Here is a 27,803-nt window from a genome sequence, read left to right as displayed (position 1 = left end):
CTCCGAGCCGTCTGTTTCTTCCTGGGCTGTGGGGCAGGGAGGAGAAAGAAAGCAGACCTTGTTATCTGGTGCAATCCACTTACTGCCAGTTTCCCAGAGATATGGACCATAAGAGGCCTGCTTTCCTGTTTATTTAATCAAATCAACAGAAGAAAGTGCTGTTAACCTCCAGCGTCTACCATGCTCTGGGTTGAGAGCACTTGATGCCAAAAGTGATCAGGAATACTAGTAAAGATAATAACCCAGTCTTAGGCAGTCACGTGCTGCCAGGGAATGGAACAGTGTCTATGCTGCTGAAGACCCATGTGAAGTCCTCTCATGTGGGGTCGTGAAATGACTTGGTTCTTCTGGTTGCTTAGAAATAGAGACCCACTGTTAATTGTGTGACCCCAAAGCTTTGGTTTCATTATCTATACAATGTGGGTGAGGAAAACCACCTCAGAGGGTTGTTGTAAGTACTGAATATGTAACACCAATACAATGCCTCTAAGTGCCAGACTGTTTTTCAAGGGCTTTGCAAGATATTACTTGTGTAATCCTCATCCATCACCTAAGAGGGTGATATTACTGGCATCCCCATGTTTTAGATGAGGAGATGGAAGTGCGGAGAGATAAAGTAACTTGCCCAGGTTCACATATGGTGAGTGGCTGAGCCAGGAGTTGATCTGTGCATTCAAGCTTCCAGTCTTTGCTCTTAGTCTCCAGGTGCGGCTGCCTCTAATACTGATTAGTAATTACTAATACTAATAATTATTAAGCACCTTCCATATGCTAGGAACGTTACATATTTTAACTCCTCTCATATTTTCACGTTCACTATAAAGGTGGGAATGATTACCTTCCTCATCTTAACAAATGAGGAAAAAATATTTACTCTGTGCCCACTCAGTAGGAAACACAATAAAGTAATTCCAAAGAGGTGTAAATACTTCTGCTCCAATTTACTCTTGGATACAGGTAAACAAATTAATGAGGACTGCAATCTATTTAAATGCTACAGGGTGGGTCCCTCTGTAACTGACTTAGCGATAAGAGAAATCCGCAGTGAGAGTATATGGGGCTTATGCTCCCATTGTACATGACAAGGTATGTAAACATTTTTTAAATTGTCTTGCTCTTTAAAATTTTCATCAGGAGCCCTTGGATATTTATAGCCTCACAGCCATTTCCAGAAATGGTGAATGGCCTGCAGAGATTTGGTTTGGTCCCACTCCCATTTATAGCGCTGCTTTCTCCTCCTAAGAGTCACCATCATCATTTGATGAAGAGGTAAGAAGATCTAGGTGATTTAAAGCCTGGCACAGTGGCTCACACTTGTAATCCCATCACTTTGGGAGGCCGAGGTGGGTGGATCCCTTGAGGTTAGGAGTTTGAGACCAGCCTGGCCAACATGGTGAAACCCCGTCTCTACTAAAAATACAAAAAAAATTATACAGGCATGGTGGTGCACGCCTGTAATCCCAGCCACTACTTGGGAGACTGAGGCGGGAGAATCACTTGAACCTGGGAGGCAGAGGTTGCAGTGAGCCGAGATTATGCCACTGCACTCCAGCCTGTGCAACAGAGCAATGAGACTCTGTCTCCAAAAACAAAACAAAACAAAAAAAAAGATCTAGGTGATTTGTTAAACGGCTATCACCTATGAGGGCCAGCTCCTTTGTCCGTGAGTTCCAGGAACTCACAATGGTCAAAGAAATTCACCTGCAGTATGAACTACATTGGTCTCTCCCTTATCAGAAATGCCATTCCAAGTCTGGGATGGAAGGCAGGTTTTAGGATCTGGAGTCTAAGGACTTTGGACCCTACTTAATGCAGTCTGCACAAATGAAGTTTGGTAGAAGAGACAACTCTCAAAATGAGGCCAAAATTTCAGAATTCAGCCCTTTTTTTTTTTTTTTTTTTTTTTTTTTTTTTTTTTGAGATGGAGTCTCACTCTGTTTCCCAGACTGGAGTGTAGCGGCATGATCTCGGCTCACCGCAACCTCCGCTGCCTGGGTTCAAGGTTCAAGTGATTCTCCTGCCCCAGCCTCCTGAGTAGCTGGGATTACAGGCACCTGCCACCGCACCCAGCTAATTTTTGTATTTTTAGTAGAGATGGGGGGGGGGTTTCACTATCTTGGCCAGGCTGGCCTTGAACTCCTGACCTCGTGATCCACCCGCCTCAGCCTCCCAAAGTGCTGGGGTTACAGGCGTGAGCCACCGTGCCTAGCTGAATTCAGTCTTTTTTAGTGGCTGAGAATATTATATTTCAAAGATCCAAAGTATCTGAAAAGTGAGTCATTCAAAGGTTGTATAAGTCACACTAGCTCTGTAAGAAGTGCAGGTGGTTTTCTATAGGAAAAACAGATCTTTATCTAGACCTGCTCCAGTCTAGCTCATCCCCACTTAGTAGAAATAGCCACAGGAGTTCAAGACCAGTGGAGTCACAGAGACCTGACCAATCATGTATATTGCTGCAAGGTGAGCCAGGGTTGAGTGAGTGAAAGACAAAGGAAATTCTGCACACTTCCACCTTAAGAAATCAGGGGCATTTCTTATTTTTTTTTCTTCCCATTAAACCTTTGTGTTCATGCAAATCTTTGCACATGCTATTCTTTCACTTCTGATGTCTTTATGTCAAAATGCATTAGAAACAGAATGTTTCTAGCTGAAGTTCAAATCATTTAAAAAGCTCAATATTTTAGTTATGCATAATTGTTCAAGGGGTCTTCTTTCTTTTTCCCTCTTAAAAAAATTCTGAGTCAAAATGCATTTTAGATTTTAGGCTGAGATTCAAATTTTACTTTTGAAAACATGCACCCAGATTCCTTTTAGAGTCACACTTTTTTTTCATTGTACAGTTGAAGTGTTCATATAGCTGAGTTATTTTTGACAGCTCTTCTGCAAACTATAAATGTCTGGTAAGAACGTCTCCAAATTATTCTGCTAAGGAGCATGACAGATACATTTTTAACACCTGAAAATTATATCTTCTGATAAGTTTGGTTATTCAAGAGCTGATGATATAGTTTATATACGCTCTATCTTCTCTCTTTGCTTTTTACTGTTGTCTACTTTTTGGCCTCATAATTACTTTTTTGGTGCCTCCGTCAAAGGATGGAGAAAAAGAAAAGAAAGGAAACACATTTCAAATCCGTTTCTCTTTCTTTCTCCCTCCTGCTCCCCCTAACAACTTGACAAAGTATATTGGAAAGGAGTCAGCTCTTGATCCATGCTAACAGAGGGACGTAACAGCATGAAAAATCCAAAGGAATAGTCAATCCAATATCATTTTTGTTAATATATTGACTTGATGTATTAATTAGGCTAGTGTTAAATATTGCAATCTTAATTTGCATATTACTATTGGACTCATATTTTTCTTCTCCATTTCAACTTCTGCAGTCTTACTATATGACTTCAGCATTAATATGAAAGACTTATCCAACCCCTTACCAAATAGTCTTTTCCACATATGAATATGAATCAGCCTTCCCAAAGTATTTTCTAGCTCAGTCATTCTTAAACTTTAGTATACAACAGAATTGTCTGCAGAGCTTGTTAAAACACAGATTTCTGGCTCCATTCCCAGAGTTTTCAATTAGATAGGTCTAGGGTGAGGCCTGAGAATTTGCATTTCTAGCAGGTTCCCAATGGATGCTGATGCTGCTGTCCGAGGGACCGCACTTTGAGAACCTCTGTTTTAGGGGTAAAGTCGACCCTAGAGATGCTCCTGGAGGGAAATAAAAAAGGATTCACACAGGTGGGCACGGCAGCTCATGCCTGTAAACCTAGCACTTTAGGAGGCCAAGGTGGGAGGATTGCTTAAGGTCAGGAGTTTGAGACCAGTCTGGGCACCATATTAAGACCTCATCTCTACAATAATAATAATAACCAGGCATGGGGTGCATGCTTGTAATCCCAGCTACTCTGGAGGCTGAGGGAGGAGGATTGCTTGAGCCCAAGAGGTTGAGGCTGCAGTGAGTTATGTTTGCAGCACTGCACTCCAGCCTAGGTGACAGAGCGAGACCCTGTCTCAAAGAGAAACATAAAAGGATTTATGTGCCTGTAATCCTAGCTACTCAGGAGGCTGAGGCAGGACGATCACTTGAGCCCAGAACTTTGAGGCTGCTGTGAGCTATGATCACACCACTGCACTTTATTTTTTTGAGATGGGGTCTCACTCCAGGCAATAGTGAGACCCTATCTCTAAAAAATAAAAAAGGATTAGTCAGTCAAATAACCCTGGGAAACATGATACCCTCTTTTGAAGCCTTTTGAAGTATTTTGAAGATTTATAGAAGTCTTGCAATATGGGGAATCCATTTTCTAACTTAGATTTTCTAAAGTTATTTGACCACAGAGCCCTTTATTCTGTCAGTACAATTTAACTCTCAGAATTACTATTCTTGGAACATACACGTTAGGGAAGGCTGCCCTATTTTGCAGTGCCTTGATGGGCTAAACTTCAGTACCCCTCACTTCTGCTTCATGTGGGCAACCCACTGTCATGGACACAGGTTGGCTGTTTGCATCACTTGGCATCTCTGCAGCTCAGCAATCTCCCACTCCTGGCATTCTGTTGACCAGAGTATATTATTCTCCAACTGTTCCCACTAAGCCTGCTTTTCAACCTCAGTGCAGTCTGCAGTCCCTTCCCTGCTTCCTCTTTCTCTCTCTCTCTCTCTCTCTTTTTTTTTTTTAGACAGAGTCTCACTCTGTTGCCAGGCTGGAGTGTAATGGTGCAATCTCAGCTCACGGCAACCTCCACCTCCCAGGTTCAAGTGATTCTCCTGCCTCAGCCTCCCCAGTAGCTGGGATTACAAATGTCCACCACCACACCCAGCTAATTTTTGTATTTTTAGTAGAGACAGGGTTTCACCATTTGGCCAGGCTGGTCTCGAACTTCAGACCTCAGGTGATCTGCCCGCCTTGGCCTCCTGAAATGCCAGGATGAAGGTGTGAGCCACCGCACCTGCCCCCTGCTTCCTCTTTACTCACCCCCACTGCTTGTCTTCCTTGTCAACTCTCCCTCCTTAGTCAGCCTGGGTTCAGTGGACACTTGTTTCCACAGCATTCTCACTGCCACCCTTAACTCTTTCATCACCTTGACCTCTCTGTCTTTTCTGTCTTGCCAACGGTCGGTCCTTGATAACCTTCCTTTTTCCTCACTTTTGATCCTGAGGCCCTGAGTGGCACTGGTGGATTGTCACATAATTCTTCCTGCTGCCATTACAACATCCATCCATTCATCCAGTATTTACATGGCTTTTTCTATGTTAGGCACTACTTTAAGCCTTAGAAATACAAGGCAAAAAATCCAAGGTCTCACAGAGTGTACTTTCTAGGGGAAACGGGGATGAGAACCAAATCAGATAGGATTAAGTGCTATGCAAAAAAATTAAAGCAGGTGAGACCTCCATAAAGAGGTGATGTGTAAGCTGATCTCTGGGTGGCAGTCATGTTAGCTCACCTTAGCAGGCCCCCTTTTTTTTTTGAGACAGAGTCTCACTCTGTCACCCAGGCTGGAGTGCAGTGGTGCTATCTCAGCTCACTGCAAGCTCCGCCTCCTGAGTTCACACCATTCTCCTGCCTCAGCCTCCCGAGTAGCTGGGACTACAGGCACCCGCCACCAAGCCCGGCTAATTTTTTGTATTTTTAGTAGAGACAGGGTTTCATCGTGTTAGCCAGGATGGTCTCCATCTCCTGACCTCGTGATATGCCCGCCTTGGCCTCCCAAAGTGCTGGGATTACAGGCGTGAGCCACCGCACCCGGCCAGCAGGCCCCTTGATATTGCCTGGCAGTACCCAGCTAACTTCTTATTTCATTCCCCACGGAGGCTGTTCTAGATCTCTTTACTCTTCCCAAATTCCAAACTCATTCCCACTTATCAGATAATTTTGCCTCCTGACTTATTGAGATGTCCACTCCCTCTATTCCTGACACCAAGTCTCCACCATGGCTCTACTAATCCTGTCTTTCTTTCTTGTTGTCCCTTCTAACATCTTGTCTTTCCTGTCTCCATTGGCCCCTTCCTGTAGCCTACAACCATCTGTTGAACAACGCATCTTTTTGTGTACCCCCGAATTTCATATGTTGAAACCCCACCCCCATGGTGGCTGTATTTAGAGATAGGGACTTTGGGGACATAATTAAGAGTAATTACCAGTTCGTAAGGGTAGGGCCCTGATCTAATAATATTAGTGTTCCTATAAGAAGAGACACCAGATAACTCAGTCTCTATCTGCTCTCACACAAAGAAGAGGCTGTGTGAGCACACAGCAAGAAGGTGGCTGTCGGCGAGCCAGAGAGAGAGCCCTGCCAGAATCTGCTTCTCTGGCTCCTTGATCTTGGACATCCCAGCCTCCAGAACCGTGGGAAATAAATTTCTGTTGTTTAAGCCACCCAGTCTGTGCTATTTTGTTATGGCAGCCTGAACTCACTAACACACCATCCTTCAACACAAAACAGAACCTCCCTGCCTCCTGCTTCCACTTCCCTTTGCCTCCCCTCACGCCAGTGCACGCCCCTCCGCCCACCGCCATCTGGCTTCTCACACCTTCCGCCCTCCCACCCTCCCCGCAGGTTGTACTTTTCAAATTACATTTCCTTCTAGTGTGTTCATTTAGTGCATTCTTACGCCTTTTCAAAATGGGACAGCATTACAAAACGTAGAATGGAACATGCTCTAAAGGTTTTATTTTTAACTTCTCTTGGGATCGCAACCTCTGCAGTCTTTCAGTGTTTCACGCTACTTAACTGACCTCAAACACCAAATGTAATCTCTGCCTGTCACTGAATCCAACATATTTCTCAGTGAAGTTCCCTTTTTTACTTCCTTAACAGTTTTTTTGAATGACTTAGGGAAATAGAGATTAGTTAGTGCTCTAGTTTGTATTTTTCAACATCAACACTGTTGGTTTCCTACCACTTTCCAACTGAATGGTAATAGCCCTAAGCAGAACTAAAAATCAAAATTGGGAAGCTGGTTTATTCTTTCTCAGGAAATTTTCCCTGCTAAACTTTTGTATTCTCTTTTTAATTAATTAGAGTCTCATCAACCATTGCTTATTTAGTGGAATATTATCACAGGACACGCCCGAGAGGCACCGATTTCTGGGAGGGGACAAGTGTCATTGCTTCCCCAAGTGGACATTTTGCATCCAGGGCAGTGGTCACTCGCTCTAAGGAGAGAAGATAAGACATAGAGATGAGGCAGGATTAGGACATTCACTTCCACTGCTGTGGATTTCCTCCAAAGCTCCTGCACTGATTACAAAGAGTTCCTGGGTCGAGTCTGTCACATCCCCACAAAGAAAGCCAAAAAAACCCACCCAGCATTGCAGTGATTTAAGATCAAGCCCAATTCCATAGGGCATGGAAAAGTGTCAGGCAGGGAAGAGGGGATTAAATAGAGCAACATCTAGAGAGCACTTTGCATAGTGCCCGGCATGTAGTAAGTGCTCAGAACATGGTAGTCATTGTCATCAGTGCCATTGTCAGTATAATTATTACTGGTCCTCATCATATAAATATACATATGCATATGTATTGTACACATATGCATGTGTATATGAGTGAAGATTCCTTCTGGCTCTAAATGGAACCTATGAGTCTTGAAGGAACCCAAGGTGAAATGGTGAAGCTCATCTCGAGATCTGATACCTGCCATTAGAGTTGTCTAGAAGGCTGGTTGAAATGTCACTTTAGGCACTGATTTTGTGCCTAAAGAAGGGGCATGGAACAGGCTCTGCCCACCTAACCCCATCAGATCAATGAATACCTACAAAGAGTTAAACAGCTAGGCAAATATGGCATGCCAGACGGACTGCACCAGGGGTTCTAGGATGGGGGTTGTCATAACTTGGGGATAAGAGGGGTGGGAGGCTTACTGCAATGGAGACCAGTGGGGAAATGAAAAAAGGAAACTGAACAGAAGGTGAAAATTCACTCTTGGGCTGCCTGTGAAGAGTAGCAAAATGCTAGCCCAACAGGAAAGAATATGCCATGGGAAGCATTCACAAAGCTGTGTCTGAGCTAAAAAGGGCAGAGGAGCTTCTGGTGTCTAGAGAAAGAATACTTTAAAAAATCCAAACTATACAAGTAAAATATTACACTCTATGCTGTGGGTTACAAGCAACCAATTAATCAGCACCTGGTTCTGAGGCACCGTGGCGCTACAAGGGAGGCAAAGGCTCTGCCCCCAGATGTTTGGAATCTTGGGGGAAACGTGGTAAATGACAGCGGGGCAGGGAACTTGAACAAAGTACAAGGCCCAGTGGCCAGTGGGTTGGGAAAGCTTCCTGGAGGAGGTGAGGGTATAAACAGGCCTTACATACACACACAGCAAGCCAGGCTGGGACAGTGAGATGAACTGCAGGTAAAAACGATTTTAAAAGGCAAGTAAGAAATCAGTCTGGCAGAAACAGGAGTTTGGGGAGGAGAAACACAAATTCAGCCCCCTTTCCTGTTCCTATCCACCCTGCTTCTGGGATCTTGGCTACTCTCTCGGATCTAGATCCCACGATACCATCCAACTCTGCCGTCCTTGTCCTCTCTGTGTCCCCAAGCTTCCTCCGCAGATGCCTCCTCTTTCTATTTTGACCACTCTTCCCAGGGAACCTCATGTTCCTTGACTTTAGAACAAACCAGTGCAGCTGACTCCATTCTGTTTTTCTGCCTGCGTGTGTCTACCTGCCCAGTGCACACCCCCACTTGACAGACAGCACACACTCTTATAAGGTCCCAAAGTAAACTCCTCACCTTCCTCCTGTCCTGAACATTTCTCCCTCCTATAAGTGCTCAGGTGCTCAGTACAGAATCCCCATGATTTTCCTGATTCTTTTCTTTCCCTCAATCCCTCCTGGACACACACAGACACGTGTATGTGCAGATGCATCATGGTGCCTATGCATTTGCTCACACACAGACTCATCAAGGTCATTCCTACTTCCATGCCCCCATCCCCTCTCACTGTCATTCCTTTTTGTTTGTTTGTTTGTTTTTCAGAGACAAGAGTCTCACTCTGTCACCCAGGCTGGAATGCAGGGGCACCATCACGGCTCACTGCAGCCTGAATCTCCCAGGTTCAGCTCCCAGGAACCTCAGCTACCCCACCACCTGCCTCACCAGTAGCTGGGACTACAGGTGGGAGGCATCATGAATAGATCATTTTTAAATTTTCTGGAGGGATGAGGTCTCACTATGTTTTCCGGACTGGTCTCGAACTCCTGGGCTCAAGCAATCCTCCCACTTCAGCCTCCCTAAGTGCGAATTACAGGCATGAGCCACTGCAGCCACACTCTCATTCTCTACACTTACTCATCTACCCTCTCTCCTCTGGACCACTGGAATTTTTCCTTTAGACCTCTCTTCTCTGGACCATTGCCGTGGCCACCACGCTTGTCCCACCTACCTCCTCCCTGTAAACCACTCCCCACCAACACAAGCTCCTTCCTGCTATTACCAAAATTCTCTTTTGACAACCCAGTTCAGAATATTAGGATGCCAAACTCTATCTTAAACAAAACTGGCCATCTACTGATGCACGTGTGTATTGATTCTATGCTGTGTGATCCCCAAGCAGCAGTGTGGCCCAAGGATTCGGAATACAGGTGCTGGAGCCCGATTATCTGGGCCTAGACCCCTACGCTGCTGCTTCCAACTATGCGACCCAGGGTTTGAACATATCCTCATCTGAAAACGTGGATCAGCATTTGACCTACAGCACAGCGGTGTTGTGAGGATTAAACAAAGCAAATCTTTGTAACGGAGCCAGGCACATAATCAGCGCCCATTACACAATAACTACGATGGGATGGGGGAGAGAGATAATAAGAATACAATAATGTTATTGATAATGTTTATCATTATTGTATTGTTACACAATAACGTTTAACTCTGGGCCCTAGGATTTTTATTTTCTCATTTTTTTCTTTATTTTTCCAATTCTCTATAATAACCATGAAATCCTTTTACAACCATTAAACTGATCTTTTCTTTGGATATGACATGATGTTACATCCTTGCTTAAAAAGGTTCAATAACCTCCCACTGCCTACAAGATAGGAACCAAAGCCCTGGGCCCGGCTTCGGGAGCCCCGCATCTGCTGACCTCAGCCAGATAGACTGGCGACTCCTCCCACTGCCTCACTTGCACTCTAGGCTCCGGCTTCTCCAGACTTCTTTGCTCCCAGATGCTGTGTCCTGCATCGTCTTCTCTTTTTCTTGTGTCCTTACTTCGCAGAGATTCTCAGCTCTTCTGACTTCACTACTGCTCAATGAGACCCCTGTTCACACTAGGAACTCCTGGACTCAAGCAATCTCCATGGTTCAGAACCCAGCTTTTCTGTGGGGAGATGTTTCTCCCCAGGGGACTCTGGGGCAACATGCATTGCTCACCAAGACCGAGAGCTCCCTAAGTCTCCAGGCTGGGCCGCAGTCCCGTGGGCATCTCCAGACATCTGTAGAATCCTCTGAGGTTTGAAGAGAGATAGAGGGATGGAGAGGCAAAGAAGGAACGGAGGCTGTTGCATGCAGGACTCTAAAAACAAGACAGAGCAAGAGGGAATTTTGCAAGACTTTTTTAAGGACAGCATGATAAAAGCAACATTTTTAGGAGCAGATATGGGCAATAATATTATGCAAAATGAATAATGTGCAGAGGTCAGAAAGTCAGGAAAGAGGCAGTTGGCTGTAGTTGAATCAAAAGGGGTGAGGTCTTGTTCTCAGGTGGACTGGCTGTTGAAGACAGCACCAAGAGCTCCCACAGCTCCTGTTCCTAGCCACCTGCCCTTTGCTGCCCTGCCGGGCACTTCCCCAGACACATCCAATGACTACCACCAGCCTCTGTGACCAATACGAATGTCGTAGCCACCTAATGTGAGACACAGTCACACAGCTAACTGTTAAGCAGTAGAGACGTGATTCAAACCTGACACAACTGACCCCAAAATGGGGGCTGCTAACTAAGCCTCCTCCACTGCGGCTGCTGCTACAGCTTGAACAGCCAGCAGATCTCTTGGCCTTCAGAAATGCTGAGGTTAAAAAATGAATTGTATGCTGTGCTTAGGCCTGGAATAGTTTTGCAGTTGTATTTTAAGACTTTTTTTTTTAACTACTGGAAAAATTTTGGTGGGAGATAAATAAAATATTAAAGGAGGAAAAGAAGATATTCAAGTGTCTTCTAGGAAGTTATGAAGGTTATGAATAGAATGAACTTGGACTGATTTGACATTGAACTGTGAAGCGTGGGAGTTTCTGGATAAATGAAAGATGCTCTATTACATAACAAGCTGCGGTGCTTTTGCACTTTATTACCTGCATGTATGATACAGGCTGAAAATGTACAGTGAGTGCAAAAGACCTGGATATACTGGTAGATGATTAATTTGCAACTGATTTTTTAAAGACAAACTATGTATATATGGGAGAGATTTCCTTAAGTCTTTGATGTGACACCCAGGAGAGCCAGCCTACAAAATCAGACTCTCCTTGCTAAGACGGTCTAACGTTACAAAAATGATAACAATAGCCACAAAGTGCCAGTCACTGCACTGACACCCTCTTATTCAATTCTCACAACAACCTTTGAGGAAAGCATTATTGTCTCCACTCTTCAGATGAGAAAACTGAGGCACATAACTTTCTCAAGGTTGCACAGCTAATAAACTGACAAAGCTGAGATTCCAGCCCAGGTCAGTGGACCCCAAAGCCCAGGCTCCTCCCATTAGAGACACTGCCTCTAGGGTGAGCCGACCGCTGAATCAACTCACAGAGACATGCCTTCTTTTGTGTTCTGGAATCTTCTCCAACAGCAAGAAACAGGCCTCATCCCACTGAAGCGACAGGGCTACCTTTCTCCACTGAAAGGACGCCAGGCTTCTTAGTCATGGCTTAACTTCCCTCTGTTTCCAGCTCTTGAAATCGGCAGAGGGGAGGGTGACCACACTAGGTGGGCTGACCCCATAATAGAAGCCTTAACACATTTCACATTTCTGCCCACACACCCAGCGCCTCCTCCTCGCAGCTCACATCAGCACCACCCCCAGCAATCTGGATAGTCCTCTTGCCATTTGAGAGAACATTCTTCGTTGTTCACAGTCTCTGGGGTTCACATAAAGCCAAAGTTTACACTTTGGAGTGTTCTTTTGTCCTGTGACAAATCTGGCCCGGGGTTCAGAAGGAGCATGGGAGGCACCTAATCAGAAGCAATCCAGAGACGATAGAGTCAGGAGGAGGAAGGAGGGGAAGCACAAAATATGGGAGATGCATGGAGAGTTCCAAGTACCTCACAGGAAAAACAACAAAAAAATTTAAACAGTTTGAAAACTAGGCACAGTGTTGGAAGCGTCAGCAGTAGATGGAGCACAAACACGAGGGGTCTGAAGCCCTCCGAGGTGCTCTGGAGGGAGCGAGTCATGGCAGGGACCGCAGCGGGTGAGAGCAGTGGGAGGAATCCCCGCTTCACCGCTTCTCTGCTGTGGAATTCCAGGGGAGTTGCTTAACCTCTGGGAACCTCAGTTTCCTCTTCTGTATAATGAGGATGATAATATTCAAGAAAATGAAAATAGTTCCAGCAACTGCCGGCTAGGTTGGAATGGGGTCCAGCTGTTGGATGTCCAGGCCCCAGGCAAATAACTTTAGTGGGGGCCCATCTTTATGAACACTTTGGGTTTCTCTGAAGCGTGGCAGGACCATTCTGGCAGCTCAAGCCGCTCGCCAGGCTGCCCTCCTGGAAGAGGTGTCCAGACACAGGGCCATGGGTGATCATGTGAGTGTGAAGTCCTGAGGGCATCCAATGACCCCAACGCTCAGGTATTCGTTGATGCAAAAGTAATTGTGGCTTTTGCCATTGAAAGTAATAAGAAGAACCGCGATTACTTTTTCCCCAACCCAATAGAAATTCAGAGAGCACTCTCAATGGGAGAAATGGGAGTTTCGGTCGGGACTCAGGGCACCCTGGTGTGATGGCACTGCCAGCTCTGGCCAGTCTCAGGCAGCAGGGAAGGACCTAGAAAATTCCAGGAAGTTGCTGCAATGTGAGGAGCCCTGAGAGGCACAGGGTCCCAGCTTGCTCAGGTCGAAGGGCAATACTAGCTGTGATGTTCCTAAGGGAACATAACCATCACTCACATAATAAAAACAATAATCAGACAGTGTTTCTCTATGACTTTGTGGGAACAAACCAGCAACCAGACCGCCATGAAATAGACAGATGGGCACTCTGCAACCACAAACATAAACTCCCCCCTCTTCTGACTAACTTGACTATTGCTTCTCTCTTCACGGCAGTCCTAGCCCACTTTAATCTTCCACCCTCCTGGACAAATTATCTAGATACCCCCAATCGTCAAATGGCCCTTGCTGTTGGACTGAACTCAGTCTAAAACTGTCCACTCATTCCTTAACCCCTCCTTAGACTCTCCCAGCACAAGCCCCAACCCCATAACAACCCCTCCCACACCCTCCTGCAGTTCCCTGGTGTGTGTCCTCACTTGCTGCAGCAAGCTGAATTAATCTACCCTGGCGTGACTAGAAGTGTGTTCTTGATGGTCTTTGGTTGGGGGGCTTCATGATAAAAGAACCTATCTCCCAGGGCTCTTTTAAGGATTGTGCACAACTGTGCCTGGTGTGTAGAGGGCTGTCACTATTTGGGGGCATTTCACAGTCCTTCTGATCTCACCAAGCATCTAGTCTGGCTCCTTAGTCCTCAAAGCACTATGGTTTGTGTACCAGTAACCTCAGCATCACCTGGGGCTTGTTAGAAATGCAGACCCTTGCGCCCTGCACTGGACTGACTGATGTGGTTTTTAACAAGATCCCTGGGGGGATCTGTGTCACAGTTAAGTTAGAGGAGCACTGCTCTAGCTTAAGAGATCCATTCTTGCACCACATGCTCAGAACGGCAGAGAGGGGTGCATGATGGGTGAAGGCTCCTGCGGCTGCCATTCAAACAAACATTAGGTTCCAGGCGATTTTCCAGCCATGGGTGTGGGCACGCCAAGCGCGCAGGAGCACGACCAGGTCTGGGGATTCAACTTGCTTATCCATTCATGAGCAACTCCAGTAGCAAGAATATGCCTGTTGCACTAGCAATTCTGTATTCATATCTTCTTAGTTTCTCACCCTAGTCCTGTGGGCACAGTGGGCAGGGAAACTCTTATCATTCCTACTTTATAGAAGAGAAAACAGCCTTTGAGATGCACAGGTTTTGCTTAGTGTCACTTGGTGGCCAAACGGTAGAGACAAACAGGTCCAGCACAACATTTAAGGGACAAGAAAAAACTCAGAAATTGAGATAAATAATATTTTAATGCAATATTTTTTGAAATAAAAATTAATGCAAAAAAAGCCATAATGAGAAACAGATCAAAAGTTAATAAAGACAAGGTTCCAAGGCAGCTGGAATTACATTAAAATTTTTGATGTTTTTGTTCAATGTGGATTTTTATCATTAATTTTATTATTTTTAAAATGCTGTTTCTTTTGCTTTCTGAGTCTCTTGGCACCCCCTTAAATTTTGCCTCACTCACTTCTGCTAGAGTCTCAGAGGGCGTTTAGCAAATGGCCAGAGTTGTGTGTGGTTTGTGGAGTTAGACTGCCCGCATTCAGATCCATGGTTGGCCAATTCCTAGCTGTGTTCATTTGGGGAAGTCAATTAAGCTTTACTGCTTTAGTTTCTTCTCCGTAAAATAGAGAGGGCTGAAGTTCAATTCGGTAAAAATAAAGAAGGACCAAGATGATGTAGTCCAATTACAGAGCTCTGAAGTTCTAGTTTAATCCAAATTTAAAATATCTACAAGATTGACAGCATTTACTTAAGTAATCCTCTATAAATATAAATTTTAATTATATAAATGTGCACATGTAATCATATCATACATACTGTTGTTTTTAGCTCGGTCTTTTAGCTCAATGCCCCTTTCTTACTCTTTTCCTTCCCTCCCCTCCCCGTGTAACTCATGCTAACATGCCCGATATGTATTTTCCATATTTTCCTTTGTATTTCTATAATGAGGTACAGACCACAACACACACATGCATATATATGTGTACACATTTTGATACGGAGGTTGGGATCGTTGTTTCACAAAATGGATTATATCATAAATGCTTTTCTGCACTCACTTATAAGTCATACCATATAGAAATCCCTCCAAGCCAACCAGTGTAACTCTATTCTTTCCTTTTTCCTTGGCAGTGTGCTAGTCTAGAGGTGCACTACCATGATTCATTTTCCCATTTTGTACTAATGAGGATTCATTTTTTTCCCACTTTTTTGCCACCCTGAATAATGCTATATTTAAACATACTGATACATATATTCTAATACTGTAGATAGTTTTCCCTGTTCCAGAATTTGATATAAATGGAATCATACAGTCTGGAATCTTTTGTATCTGGATTATTTTGTCAGCATGTTTTTGAGATTGAACCATGCTGTTGAGTGTAGCGTAGTTCTTTCCTTTTGATTGCTGAGTGGTCCGTTGTATGCATATACCACAGTTTGCTTATTCTTCTGAGTATGTGTATTTCAAATTTTAATAGATACTGCCATGTTACTTCCCCAAAATGCTGTACAATTTACATTTCAACTTTGTAATATTGTTGTAGTTGTCTTTAATTTTGGCAGGCCTGATAGGCAGATATGATGTCTCATTAGTACTTTAATTTGCATTTCCCTAACGATGGTAAATTCAAGCATCTTTTTGTACATTTGTTGACTCTCTGCTTTTGTGCTTCTATAAATTGCCTTTTCTTATTCCTTCATCATTTTTCTATTGAGTTGACAAATTATAAAATCTCTTTCTATATGATATAAGTACATTCTTTGCAGTTTGGGTTACAAGTATTTTTTCCAAATCTATCATTTGTGTTTTGAATTTGCTTACAATATTTAATACTGTACACATTTGGGGGGGTAATTATTTTATTTTATGTTTAATTGACAAATAATAATTGTGTGTATTATGGGATCATACCACATTTACGATATGGTCAACTATATGTTTCTTTTATGGCCTCTTGTGTTTTCCAGTCTTGTTAAGGTTTCCTTGTCCTTGGATTATACATGAAGCCTCCTTTTATGATAATTTGTCTTGTTTTGTTGTCCACAGTTAAGACTTTACTCTCTGGGGAATGTATTTTTGTTTATGGTATAAAACAGGGATTTAATTTTACTTTATTTCAGATGAAGAGCCAGTATTGTTTTTGAAATAATTTATTATTTTCCCACTACACTGAACTTCCACATTTGATATATGATGTATATTACATTCTCATATCCAAGACTTCTAGATCCTCTTTTCTCTTTCACTGATCTATTTCTCATTCTCATACCAATACCATATTTACTTCATAACAGCTTTATAATATCCTCTCATGTTGCGTAAGGTAATTCCCCTTGCACTGTTCTTTTTTATTATTTTCCTGCTATTCCTGAGCATTTATTCTGAAGTGAATAAATGTATTCCTTATGAAATTTTAAATCATTTCATCCAGTTCCTTCCCCTCCTTACCCCCTCCCAAGACTGTTGCAATTCTAATTGTAATTACATAAAATTTCTATATTTCTTTGGAATAATTGATAATTTTATGCCATATTCCATTTTCATATCCAATAACTTGATATATCTTTTCATTTGTTCAGACGTTGTTTTGAGACCTTTACTAAGATTGAATTTTATTCATATAGATGTAGCTATATTATTAATTATATCCTTAGCTATTTTTGTTCACTATTTTCTGAAGAGGGTATTTTCATCTTCTCCACTTCTATATGCTTATCATTAGAACAGATAAAAGCTAAAATATGTGTCATTATCCTGTATCCTCAAACTCTTGTATTCTCTTACTAATTCTAATTTTTTTAAAAACTCAGTATCTCTTAGATTTTCATATCATCAGCAAAAATATTTATTTCTTCTTTCCAATTGTTTATTTCAGTTATTTACTGCCCTTTTATTGCATTCACTAACTCTTCCATGACAAAGTCAAATTGTAATGGTTAGAGCAAACTTTCCTGTCTTTATGTTGATTTATTTTGTTTTTTAATTTTATTATTATTTTTTAAGATGGAGTCTCACTCTGTCACCCAGGCTGGAGTGCAGTGGTGCAATCTTGGCTTGCTGTAACCTCTGCCTCCTAGGTTCAAGCAATTCTCCTGCCTCATCCTCCCGAGTAGCTGGGATTACGGGCACCTGCCACTATGCCAAGCTAATTTTTTGTATTTTTAGTAGAGAGGGGGTTTCACCATGTTGGCCAGGCTGGTCTCAAACTCCTGACCTCAAGTGATCTGCCCGCCTCGGCCTCCCAAAGTGCGGGGATTACAGGTGTGAGCCACTGCACCGGCCTGTATGTTGATTTTAAATGAAATGGTTTTTTTTTGTTGTTTGTTTGTTTGTTTTGAGACGGAGTCTCACTCTGTCACCCAGCCTGGAGTGCAGTGGCGCGATCTCGGCTCACTTCAAGCTCCGCCTGCCGGGTTCACACCATTCTCCTGCCTCAGCCTCCAGAGTAGCTGGGACTACAGGCGCCCGCCACCATGCCCGGCTAATTTTTTTTGTATTTTTAGTAGAGACGGGGTTTCACCATGTTAGCCAGGATGGTCTCGATCTCCTGACCTCGTGATCCGCCCGCCTCGGCCTCCCAGAGTGTTGGGATTACAGGTGTGAGCCACCGCGCCCGGCCATGAAATGGTTTTAAAGTTGTAGTGCATTTAATGGAGGGTTTTTTGGGAATATTTTTATTCTATGTAAGTGATTTCCTTATAGTAATATTTTTGTTAGAATTTTATTAGGAATAGCTGCTATGTTGACCTCTAATTCCTCATAATCTTTTACTGATATGTTTGTATTAATTTTCTCCTTTAATTGTTGAAGTACCGTCAGTCATGCATTGTATAATGATGCTTCAGTCAATGACAGACCACATATACAGTAGTGGTCCCATTAGATTAGAATACCTTATTTTTACTGTACCTTTTCTATGTTTAGATACACACATACTTACTATTGTGTTACTATTGCCTACAGTATTCAGTGCGGTAACATGCTGTACAGGTTTGTGGCCTAGGAGCAATAGGCTATACCATATAGCCTAAATGTGGAGCAGGCTATAAAAGCTAGGTCTGTGTAAATATACCTAGTGATGTTTGAACAAGGAAGGACAAAATTGCCTAATAACACATTTCTCAGAACATATCTCCATAGTTAAGTGATACATGAATGTAATGATATGTTAATTTCCTGCTATGAAAATACTTTGCATTCCTGGAATAAGCCCTACCTGGTTTATTGATAAGGTGCTTGATTCTGTTCTATTTAGAATTCCAGTATCTTTATTTATAAATGAAATAGTTTTTCACAAAGGAGATTTTGGTAAGTTTCAGTGGCAAAATGAGAGATTCTATTGTCTGACAGGTAACTAGAATAGTATCACCACCATCTAATCAGAAAAGCATATATAAGTGTAGGGAGGATATCAAGATCGCAGTTGCAGATGGAAGTTTTCCAAAATTCTAAAACTTTCACTTAAGAGCTTCAAGTGAAGGTCTCAAAGCAGCAACCAGTTGTTTTCCTTGAGGTGATAAGCATCCTTCATTCAAGGAAACATCTGCCAGTTACCCAAGACTCAATGATCATAGTTCGTCTGTCACTTGCTCTTTCAGATAACAATGGCGTTCCATGAAAAAGTGGCTAGTGCAGCTCACAACTCAACCACACAAGTACTTTTCCTTGAGATTATCTTCATAGCACAGTGTGCAGCAAAAATACTTTATACATACTTTCCAGTCAGCAACACAGAACACTAAGCAGACGTGGGCTGGGCACAGTGGCTCATGCCTATAATCCCAACATTTTGGGAGGCCATGGTGGGAGGATCACCTTGGCCTCTCAAATTCCTAAGAGTCCAGGAATTTGAGACCAGCCTGGGCAACATGGCAAGACCCTGTTTCTACAAAATATTCTTAAAAAGCTTCTGGGCATGGTGGCATGCCTATAGTCCTAGCTACTCAGAAGCCTGTGGTAGGATGACCTTTTGAGCCCAGGAGTTTGAGGCTGCAGTGAGCCGTCATTGTGCCAATGTACTCCAGCCTGGATGACAGTGAGACCTTACCTCTAAAAAAACAAAAAAAGACATATACTCAAGGGTCAAGACTTAATAAAATTAACAATTTTTACTGCTTTGTTAAGTGAAACTGGATTTTTTTAAAAACTGGGGGTGTGCAGCAGTGAAAGATACAGTGATCACTCATGTAGTGTGCTGCTGTTGCCTGTATTAGCAGGAAGGCACCAGCAGTTTTACCCATCATTGCTTTTGCACCATTCGGATAAATGTCATCACAGTGAAAAAGCAAATAACACCTTAGTATTATTATGAACACAGTTTTGACCTTGCTGATCTTTCATATGGGTCTCAAGGGACCCCAGGGTTCTGTGGGCTATACCTCAGGAACCACTGCTCTGGACAGACGAGGCTTCTTTCTTGTTCCTTGAAAGGGCCAAGCTCCAGGAGTTAGAACCATCCTGGTCAACATGGTGAAACCCCGTCTCTACTAATAATACAAAAATTAGCTGGTCATGGTGGCAGACATCTATAATCCCAGCTACTCAGGAGGCTGAGGTGGGAGAATCACTTGAACCCAGGAGGTAGAGGTTGCAGTGAGCTGAGATCACACCACTGCACTCCAGCCTGGGCAACAGAGCAAGATTCTGTCAAAAAAAAAAAAAGGCGGGGGGGTCAATCTCTTTCCCAACTCAGGGACTTTGCACATGCTGGTCCCTTGGACTGGAATGCTGATCTCACAACACTTTGCCTCGTCCATTTTTCTCCTCATCTTTGAGGTTGCAATGTAAATGTCCCTTTCGCAGGGTCCATTGCCCAAACTAGGCTCAGCTGCTCTGCTCTGTGCTCTCGGGAAACCTTGACATTTCTATCACAGCTCTTATTACAATTGTAATTAACATTTACCTGCATGTTTATCCATGAATGTCTGCTCCCTCAAGAGTGTAAACTTCTGGCTCTGCCTACCTCTTCTGCCTTGGTATCTTCTGCACCTTGCACCTTACTTACTTATTGCATTCAATCAATATTATTGAACAAATTAAGGAGTGAATGATCTGTTTCACTTATGGTTGGTTAGCTCAGTTGGTTAGCTTGCAGGGCAGAGGCTAAGGTCATGGGCTGGCCCAATTTTACGCTTTTCTCCTTTTACAGCTCCCGTCACTAGCTTTTTCTCCTCAAGCCTGCACTGCACACCAACTGGGACGGAGGGTGCAGATGAATAAAGGCAAATCCATCACCAAAAGTAAGAAAACCCTTCCACACTTCCTCCCTCATAATTTGTTGTAGATTTGTTGCCATCTGCAAAGCCAGAAAGACAACTCCAGCACTTCCTGATCATCTTGAGACCCACTTAAACTCCCTGAGACTGTAAAAATCTCTCCTATTTATTCATTTACTAAAAGTCCCCTGGTCCCCCAGCAAATACACATGCCTTGCAGAACCTAGAAGAGTAATCGGAAACTCTCCAGCAGTTATGAGCCATAGTTTAAAAACCTCTGAACTAACAAAATTATCATTCTGTCCCAGATTTAAACCAAATTGTGGTGATTATAGCATAGACTCTGCAGTTCTGGTTGAGAGGCCAATTTAATTAGAAGCCTCTATCTTCAGGCTCTTATAACTCCACCCCATACCCCTTCCCCAAAAATAATTCTTTAGGATGAAATTTCTAATGCTGTCTCTCAGCCTAAAGGTATATTTTTTTTGTAGAAAGTTGAGTAAGGTTTAATTTAGGCTATTTTTAAAACACAAGAAAAAGGGCAAAAAAAGGGGGATTTCACCACTTAAGAAATCACTCAGACACTTTTTTTTTTTTACTATTTTATTTCCCAAATGCAAACTGCTTCCTTTAGAACTTTCAAGTTGACCTTCTTAGTGCCTTTGGCATGTTTGAAGAAATTTGGTTGAGCTGTAATGAAGTTGTTCACAAAATGTGAATTGCCCGTAAGAAGATTTATTTCCACTTTTTAAAAGAAACTTGCATGGAAATGGTACATGGGAATTATGATAAAAATCAGATCTATGAAAAAAGGTCTGTGTGTGTGTGTGTGCATGTGTGTGTGTGTATTATAGATGCATTAATATCTTACCAATGAAAATGTCATTGGTCAACCACATGGCCTGTTACCAAAAATGACCTTAGAAATATTTAGTCTAGGTCCTGTTTACAAGTGAGAAGATTGAGGTCCAAAGGCTTATATAAATGTTTTAGTCTGGATGAAAAATAAATGATTAACTCTGAAACATGTATCTTACATAGAGAACACAGACTCATAAAACAAAAGTAAATTATATGGCCACTTTACCATTTTGGAGGGAAAGGAGGGCCTCTAGCCCAGGGAAGGTTATAATTTTCACCACTCCTGGCAGATCACATGGTGGGAACTGGGGTGGGGGCCAAGGCAACCTCCCGGCAGCCTGCAGATCCCTGGGGGCTCTGGCTTGTCTTCTTCCAGTCAGGCATGGTAAAGCAGTTCCACCACCAAGTTCCTACAGCAAGAACCAGGTGGATTCTTCCTTTATGGATAACTAGGTACAGTCATGGCTTCTATTAAGAGTGGCCAGGAATTTCTTGACTAAGGTCACATATGTACTAATATCCCATTGCTTTCCTCAAATTGTATCACTAAAAACTAATGACATCATAGAATTCAAATGCAGCATCTAAGCCTAAATGAAAACAAATGCTAAATTGCATAGTGTTGTTTATTGTTGCTGTTTTAATTATTTGCTGCAAACAACTAATTTAAGGGAAGTCAGGTGGCCAAAGATACATAGCTTCATTACAACAGAGCATTTCCTTAGAGGACCCAGGTTCCAAAAAGAGAATTTTTCTGGAACCATGACCAATGCATTGGGATAATTAGTTGCACAATTGAACTATATTGTCATTTAAAATGATGTTTTAGTGTGTGTTGAGCCATATGACAATGCTGATGCTTGATATTTTTGACCCCACAATGAATGACAATTGTACATGGTTCAATCTAATATTTCAAATGCACCCTGGTAGCGAAACAGTAAATCTAGAAGCTTGGTGTGTTTTCACAACAGTTAGGCTTACTGGCATTAAGCTTTTGTTATAGGCACACACACACACACACACACACACACACACACACACACAAAACCCAGAAGATTGTCTCAAAGACTAGAATCAAATTGAGGAGAGTCAACAAAATCATAAGAAAAAAATCAAAAGCTGTAGAAGACAGTACATGGGAGCTACTTTCCAATTTCCAGTTTCCAGGTGCAAAGGAGGGGAGAGCCCAGGAACTCATTAGTACAAAGGAGAAGTGATTCTTAGCTCAGTCAGGGAGAGTTCAAGAAGGAGGTGGGGCATAAGTTAGGCCTTGAAATCTTCAAAAGATGTTTAGAAAGAGGGGGATGTAATTAAGAAAGAGGAACAAGCATCATTATTCCATACTTTTTATTTGATACCATTATTTGCTATTCATGCCCTTTGTTCAGCCGTAGTGGCTCCTTTCTGTTCTTGTAATCCACCAGGCAATTTCCCATTGCACAGCCTTTGCACTGGCTGATCCCTTTGCCTGAAATCTTCTTCCCCCTCATCTGCCCATGGATAGGTCTTGTTTCTTATTAAATATTACTTCCTGCTGGGCACAGGGACTCGTGTCTATATTCCCAGCACTTTGGAAGGCCAAAGAGGGAGGATCATTTGAGGCTAGGAATTCAAAACCAGCCTAGGCAACATATAGAGACCCTGTCTCAACCAAACAACAAAAAAGTTAGCCAGGCATGGTGGCCCGTGCCTGTGGTCCCAGCCCCTCAGGAGCTGAGGTAGGAGGATTAATTGAGCCAGGAAGTGGAGGCTGTGGTGAGCCGTAATTGCACCACTGCACTCCACCCTGGGTGATGGAGCAAGACCTTGCCTCAAAAAAAAAAAAAAAAAAAAAAATCACCTCCTCAGGGAAGCCTTCCCTCACTCCCAGATCTAAAGTAGCCATCCCTCTGCCCAAGCTGTCTCTATCATTTTGTTGTTTTCTTCATTGAACTTACCAATAGATAAAGTTATCTTATTTATTTATTTCTTGGTTTTTGGTCTGCTTCCCTCAAGCCCTGTGGTAGGAGGTTAGCTTCATGAGAATAAGGACTTTTCTGGAACAGTGCTGGCATAGGCTTAAGCTGTTTGGATGCTCTTGATTGCAAGCAACAGAAAGTCCTAATCGAGTTGGCTCCAACAATAAAAGGTTTTTTTTTTTGTTTTTTTTTTTGGCTCATGAAACTGTAAAGTTCAGTGTCCCATTAAGGAAGGATCCAGTGTCTTTCCATGTCTTCACTGTGCTTTCACGGTGTTAGCTACAGCCTAAACCTCATGGTGGCAAAATGACCAGAGCAGTTCCAGGCTTCACATCCATATGTACATCATCCAGGACAGAGCATCTTTGTTCTAGGATTCAGAAGTCCCAAATACACTCTGATTGACCTGATTTGGGCCACTCTGCATGCTCTCTCCAAGGCAACAGTTGTAGCCAAGGAAGGGGAATATATGGTCTGGCCAGGGTGGACTATGTGGAAGAGATATGGAAATGAGAAGGAAATGCTGGATCCTGTTAGGAAGGGGGACCAGAGAGGCAAAAGACACCTACTGCATCATCACTAAAACTTAAATGCATGAAGATGCCTGGGATCTTATTTATGAATGGGGCTTCTTGTAGCATGAAGGAACAATGTTATAGGACATTACAACAGAATACCCAATGTATTAGTCAATTCTTACACTGCTATAAAGAACTGCCAAAGACTGAATAATTTATAAAGGAAAGAAGTTTAATTGACTCACAGTTCTGCAGGGCTGGGGAAGCCTCAGGAAACTTACAATCATGGTGGAAGGGGAAACAAACATGTCCTTCTCCACATGGTGGCAGGAAGGAGAAGTGCTGAGCAAAAGGGGAAAAGCACCTTATAAAACCATCAGATCTCATGAGAACTAACTATCATGAGAACAGCATGGAGGTAACCACCCCTATGATTCATTTATCTCCCACTGGGTCCCTCCCATGACACATGGGGATTATGGGAACTACAATTCAAGATGAGACATGGCGTGGGGACACAGTCAAACCATATCGTTCCTCCCCCGCCCCTGCCAAATCTCATGTCCTTACATTTCAAAACACAATCGTGCCTTTCCAACAGTCCTCCAAAGTCTTAATTCATTCCAGCATTAACCCAAAGTCCAAGTCCAAGGTCTCATCTGAGACAAGGCAAGTCCCTTTTGCCTATGAACCTGCAAAATCAAAAGTAACTTAGTTTCTTCCCAGATACAATGAGGGTACAGGCATTGGGAAAAACCTGTTCAAATTGGGAGAAATTGGTCAAAACAAAGAACTACAGGTCCCACACAAGTCTGAAATTCAACAGGGCAGTCACCAAACCTTACATTTCCAAAATGATCTCCTTTGATTCCATGTCTCATATCCAGGTCATGCTGATGCAAGAGGTGGACTCCCATGGCCTTGGGCAGCTCTACCCCTATGGCTTTGCAGGGTACATCCTCCCTTCCAGCTGTTTTCATGGGCTAGCATTGAATGTCTGTGGCTTTTCCAGGTGCATGGTGCAAGCTGTCAGTAGATCTGCCATTCTGAGGTCTGAAGGATGGTGGTCCTCTTCTCACAGTTCCACTAGCCAGTGCCCCAGTGGGCACTCCTCGTAGGGGCTCGACCCCACATCTCCCTCCCACACTGCCCTAGTGGAAATTCTCCATGAAGGCTCCGCCACTGCAGCAAACTTCTGCCTGGACATCCAGGCATTTCCGTATGTCCTCTGAAATCTAGGTGGAGGTTCCCAGACCTCAGTTCTTGACTTCTGTGTACCCACAGGCTTAACACCACATGGAAGCCACCAAGGCTTGGGACTTGCACCCTCTGAAGCCTGAGTTTTGCCTTGGCTCCTTTTAGCCATGGCTGGAGCTGAAGCAGCTGGGATGCAGGTCACCATGTCCTGAGGCTGCACAGAGCAAGGGGTCCCTGGGTCTTGCCCACCAAACCATTTTTCCCTCTTAGGCCTCTGGGCCTGTGATGGGAATGGCTGCCATGAAGTTCTCTGATATGCCCTGGGGACATTTTCCCCATTGTCTTGGTGATTAACATTTGGCTCCTCATTACTTATGCAAATTTCTGCAGCTGGCTTGAATTTCTCCCCAGAAAATGGGGTTTTCTTTTCTATTGCATCATTAGGCTGCAAATTTTCCAAACTTTTATGCTGTGCTTCCTCTTGAAAGCTTTGACTCTTAGAAATTTCTTCCACCAGATACCCTAAATCATCTCTCTTAAGTTCAAAGTTCAACAAATCTCTAGGGCAGAGGCAAAATGCCGCCAGTCTCTTTGCTAAAGCATAGCAAGAATCATCTTTGTTTCAGTTCCCAACAAGTTCCTCATCTCCATTTGAGACCACCTCACCCTGGACTTCATCGTCCATGTCACTATCAGCATTTTGGTCAAAGCCATTCACCATGTCTCTAGGAAATTCCAAACTTTCCCACATCTTCCTGTCTCCTGAGCCCTCCAAGTCTCTAGGAAGCTCCAAAATTTCCCACATTTTCCTGTTGTCTTCTTCTGAGCCCTCCAAACTCTTCCAGCCTCTGCCTGTTACCTAGTTGCAAAGTCACTTTCATATTTCAGGTATCCTTATAGCAGCACCCCACTCTACTGGTACCAATTTACTCTATTAGTCTGTTCTTATGCTGCTATAAAGAATTGTCTAAGACTGGGTAATTTATAAAGGAAAGAGGTTTAATTGACTCACAGTTCTGCAGGGCTGGGGAGGCCTCAGGAAACTTACAATTATGGTGGAAAGGGAAGCAAACATGTCCTTCTTCACATGGTGGCAGAAAGGAGAAGTGTCAAGCAAAGGGGGAAACTCCCTTATAAAACCATCAGATGTCATGAGAACTCACTTTCATGAGAACAGCAGCATGGGGGTAACTGCCCCCATGATTCAATTACATCCTACTGAGTCCCTCCCATGACACGTGTGTATCGTGGGTACTACAATTCAAGATGAGATTTGGGTGGGGACACAGTCAAAGCATATCAGCCAAAATGGGGATACCTCTTAAGGAAAGAGGAATTTATTCATTATTTGATAGACATTAGGAAGCCATGGAAGATTCTGAGTGATGGCATAATAGAATGAAAGAAGCATTGAGGAACATCAGTTGGCAGCAGTTTGCAGACTTAGTGAGAAGAAATGTTAAGGGCGGGTAGTGGGTAGGAGGGATAGTCAGGGAGAGGGAAGAGACCTGGAGCCAGGAGAGGCAATGAAGAGATTGTCTGCACGTGAGGTGAAGGCCGAGACCAGACATTAAAAATGAAAACAATGTAAGAGACAGAAAAGATGTTCAACACATATTAACCAGATTTGATGGCTGATTGCATATAGATGATGAATAAGAGGACTAAATAAAAGATGACTGACCATTTTCCTAGAATAAAATCATTCCCTGGTTGGCCTGAAGAATGCTGTATGCCTCTTCAACTGTGTCTTGCCCCTTTATGGCTTGTTCACTACCCCCACGTCACGCTGGTCCTCTCAACACTCAGTCTCCTCTGACGCACCCTCTGCAGCCCCAGAGCCTCTGTATGCACTTCCGCCACCCCCTCTCTACCCTCTCCACCCCTACCCATCTGGTAGGCTCCTGCTTCAGATCTCAACTTAAATGTCATCTTCCCAGAGACCTCTGCCACCCAAACTAGGCTCTTTTCTTTATCTCATATGCATATTCACGTTATTTTTGATTAAGAATCTTTCCTTTCTTTATGGAATTCATCAGTGTTTATATTGGCATATGTATTTGTTGACCCTTTCACTGTCTCCCTCACTAGAGTTTAGCTCTATGGTAGGAAACAGAGACAATGGCTGGCAAGGACTCCAGGGTTGGGTGTAGGTGACATTCAGTGTGCTACCCACCAGCAGGCATGGACGCTGGGAAAGAGATGGTTTATGGGGAGGAGAAATGACTTTGATGTGGAGCAAGTTGAGTCTGTGGTAGATATCCAAATGGAGATACAAAATAAGAAGTAGCAGAACCTCAGAATGTAGAGCTTGAAGAAAACTTAGTCCAGTGTTTTCTCAAAATGAGGTACCTCTTTACCAACCCATGCCTTTGCACCTCCTCTTCTGCTCCTCTCGTGAGTTCTTACAACTTGGTTCTTCTTAGCCCTCCTCACCCTCTTTTTTTTTCTTACTTCTGTGATCTTTAGTAGAGAATTTAGACAGTTTGCAAGCCATAGTTGTATTGGATTGAGAAATGCCCTTAATAAGTCCCTCTGTTTTGCAAATAAGAAAAATATGTCCCAGAGATGTTAAATGACTTAAAGCCACACAGCTAATCAGAGAGAAAACCTGGACTAGAATCCATCTTTGTAAAATTCCAGTTCAGCGCCCTTTCATTAGCCCATATTCACTGCAGAAGTGGAGGTCAAGCCTTGGGGGTGAATTGTCAGAAATCCATGAACTTCTTGGCTCTTTTCTGGAACCAATTTAACTCTCCTGCAGAGGCCACAGAAAGCACGTGAGGACCATCAAATGCATATTTTGTACCTATTTAACAAAACAAAAAATGTGTTTTCTGGAATGCATGATGACACTGTGAAAGAAGGGTTTGGGTCTTCCAGTGCCTTTTAACAAGATAAATTGTATTTTCAAACCAACTCCGTATTAACCAATACTATTTAAAGAATACCATTAGCAAAGACCAAGAGCCAACAGGTTGGCGTTCACCGCGGCTCTG

At 43.2% G+C, this 27,803-nt stretch overlaps 1 protein-coding gene across 2 annotated transcripts in view; it reads left to right on the top strand.

Moving 5' to 3' along the window:
* KCTD1 (potassium channel tetramerization domain containing 1) overlaps positions 1-27,803 on the top strand; it is a 202,564-nt gene that overhangs the window by 8,036 nt on the left and 166,725 nt on the right. Inside the window, exons 1-2 of one of the 2 annotated variants that reach the window (NM_198991.4) lie at positions 9,094-9,127; positions 20,201-20,291. The exons of the other annotated variant lie outside the window; for it this stretch is intronic. The gene's annotated coding sequence lies outside the window, so the exon portion shown is untranslated. Of the gene's footprint in view, positions 1-9,093; positions 9,128-20,200; positions 20,292-27,803 lie in introns of those variants that run through there. 2 annotated transcript variants of the gene reach the window in all.

Source organism: Homo sapiens, chromosome 18, assembly GCF_000001405.40.
Source record: "Homo sapiens chromosome 18, GRCh38.p14 Primary Assembly".
NCBI classification, from domain to species: domain Eukaryota; kingdom Metazoa; phylum Chordata; class Mammalia; order Primates; family Hominidae; genus Homo; species Homo sapiens.
The sequence above is the reverse complement of the archived record's forward strand: the minus strand, read 5'-3'. Positions and strand labels throughout refer to the sequence as shown.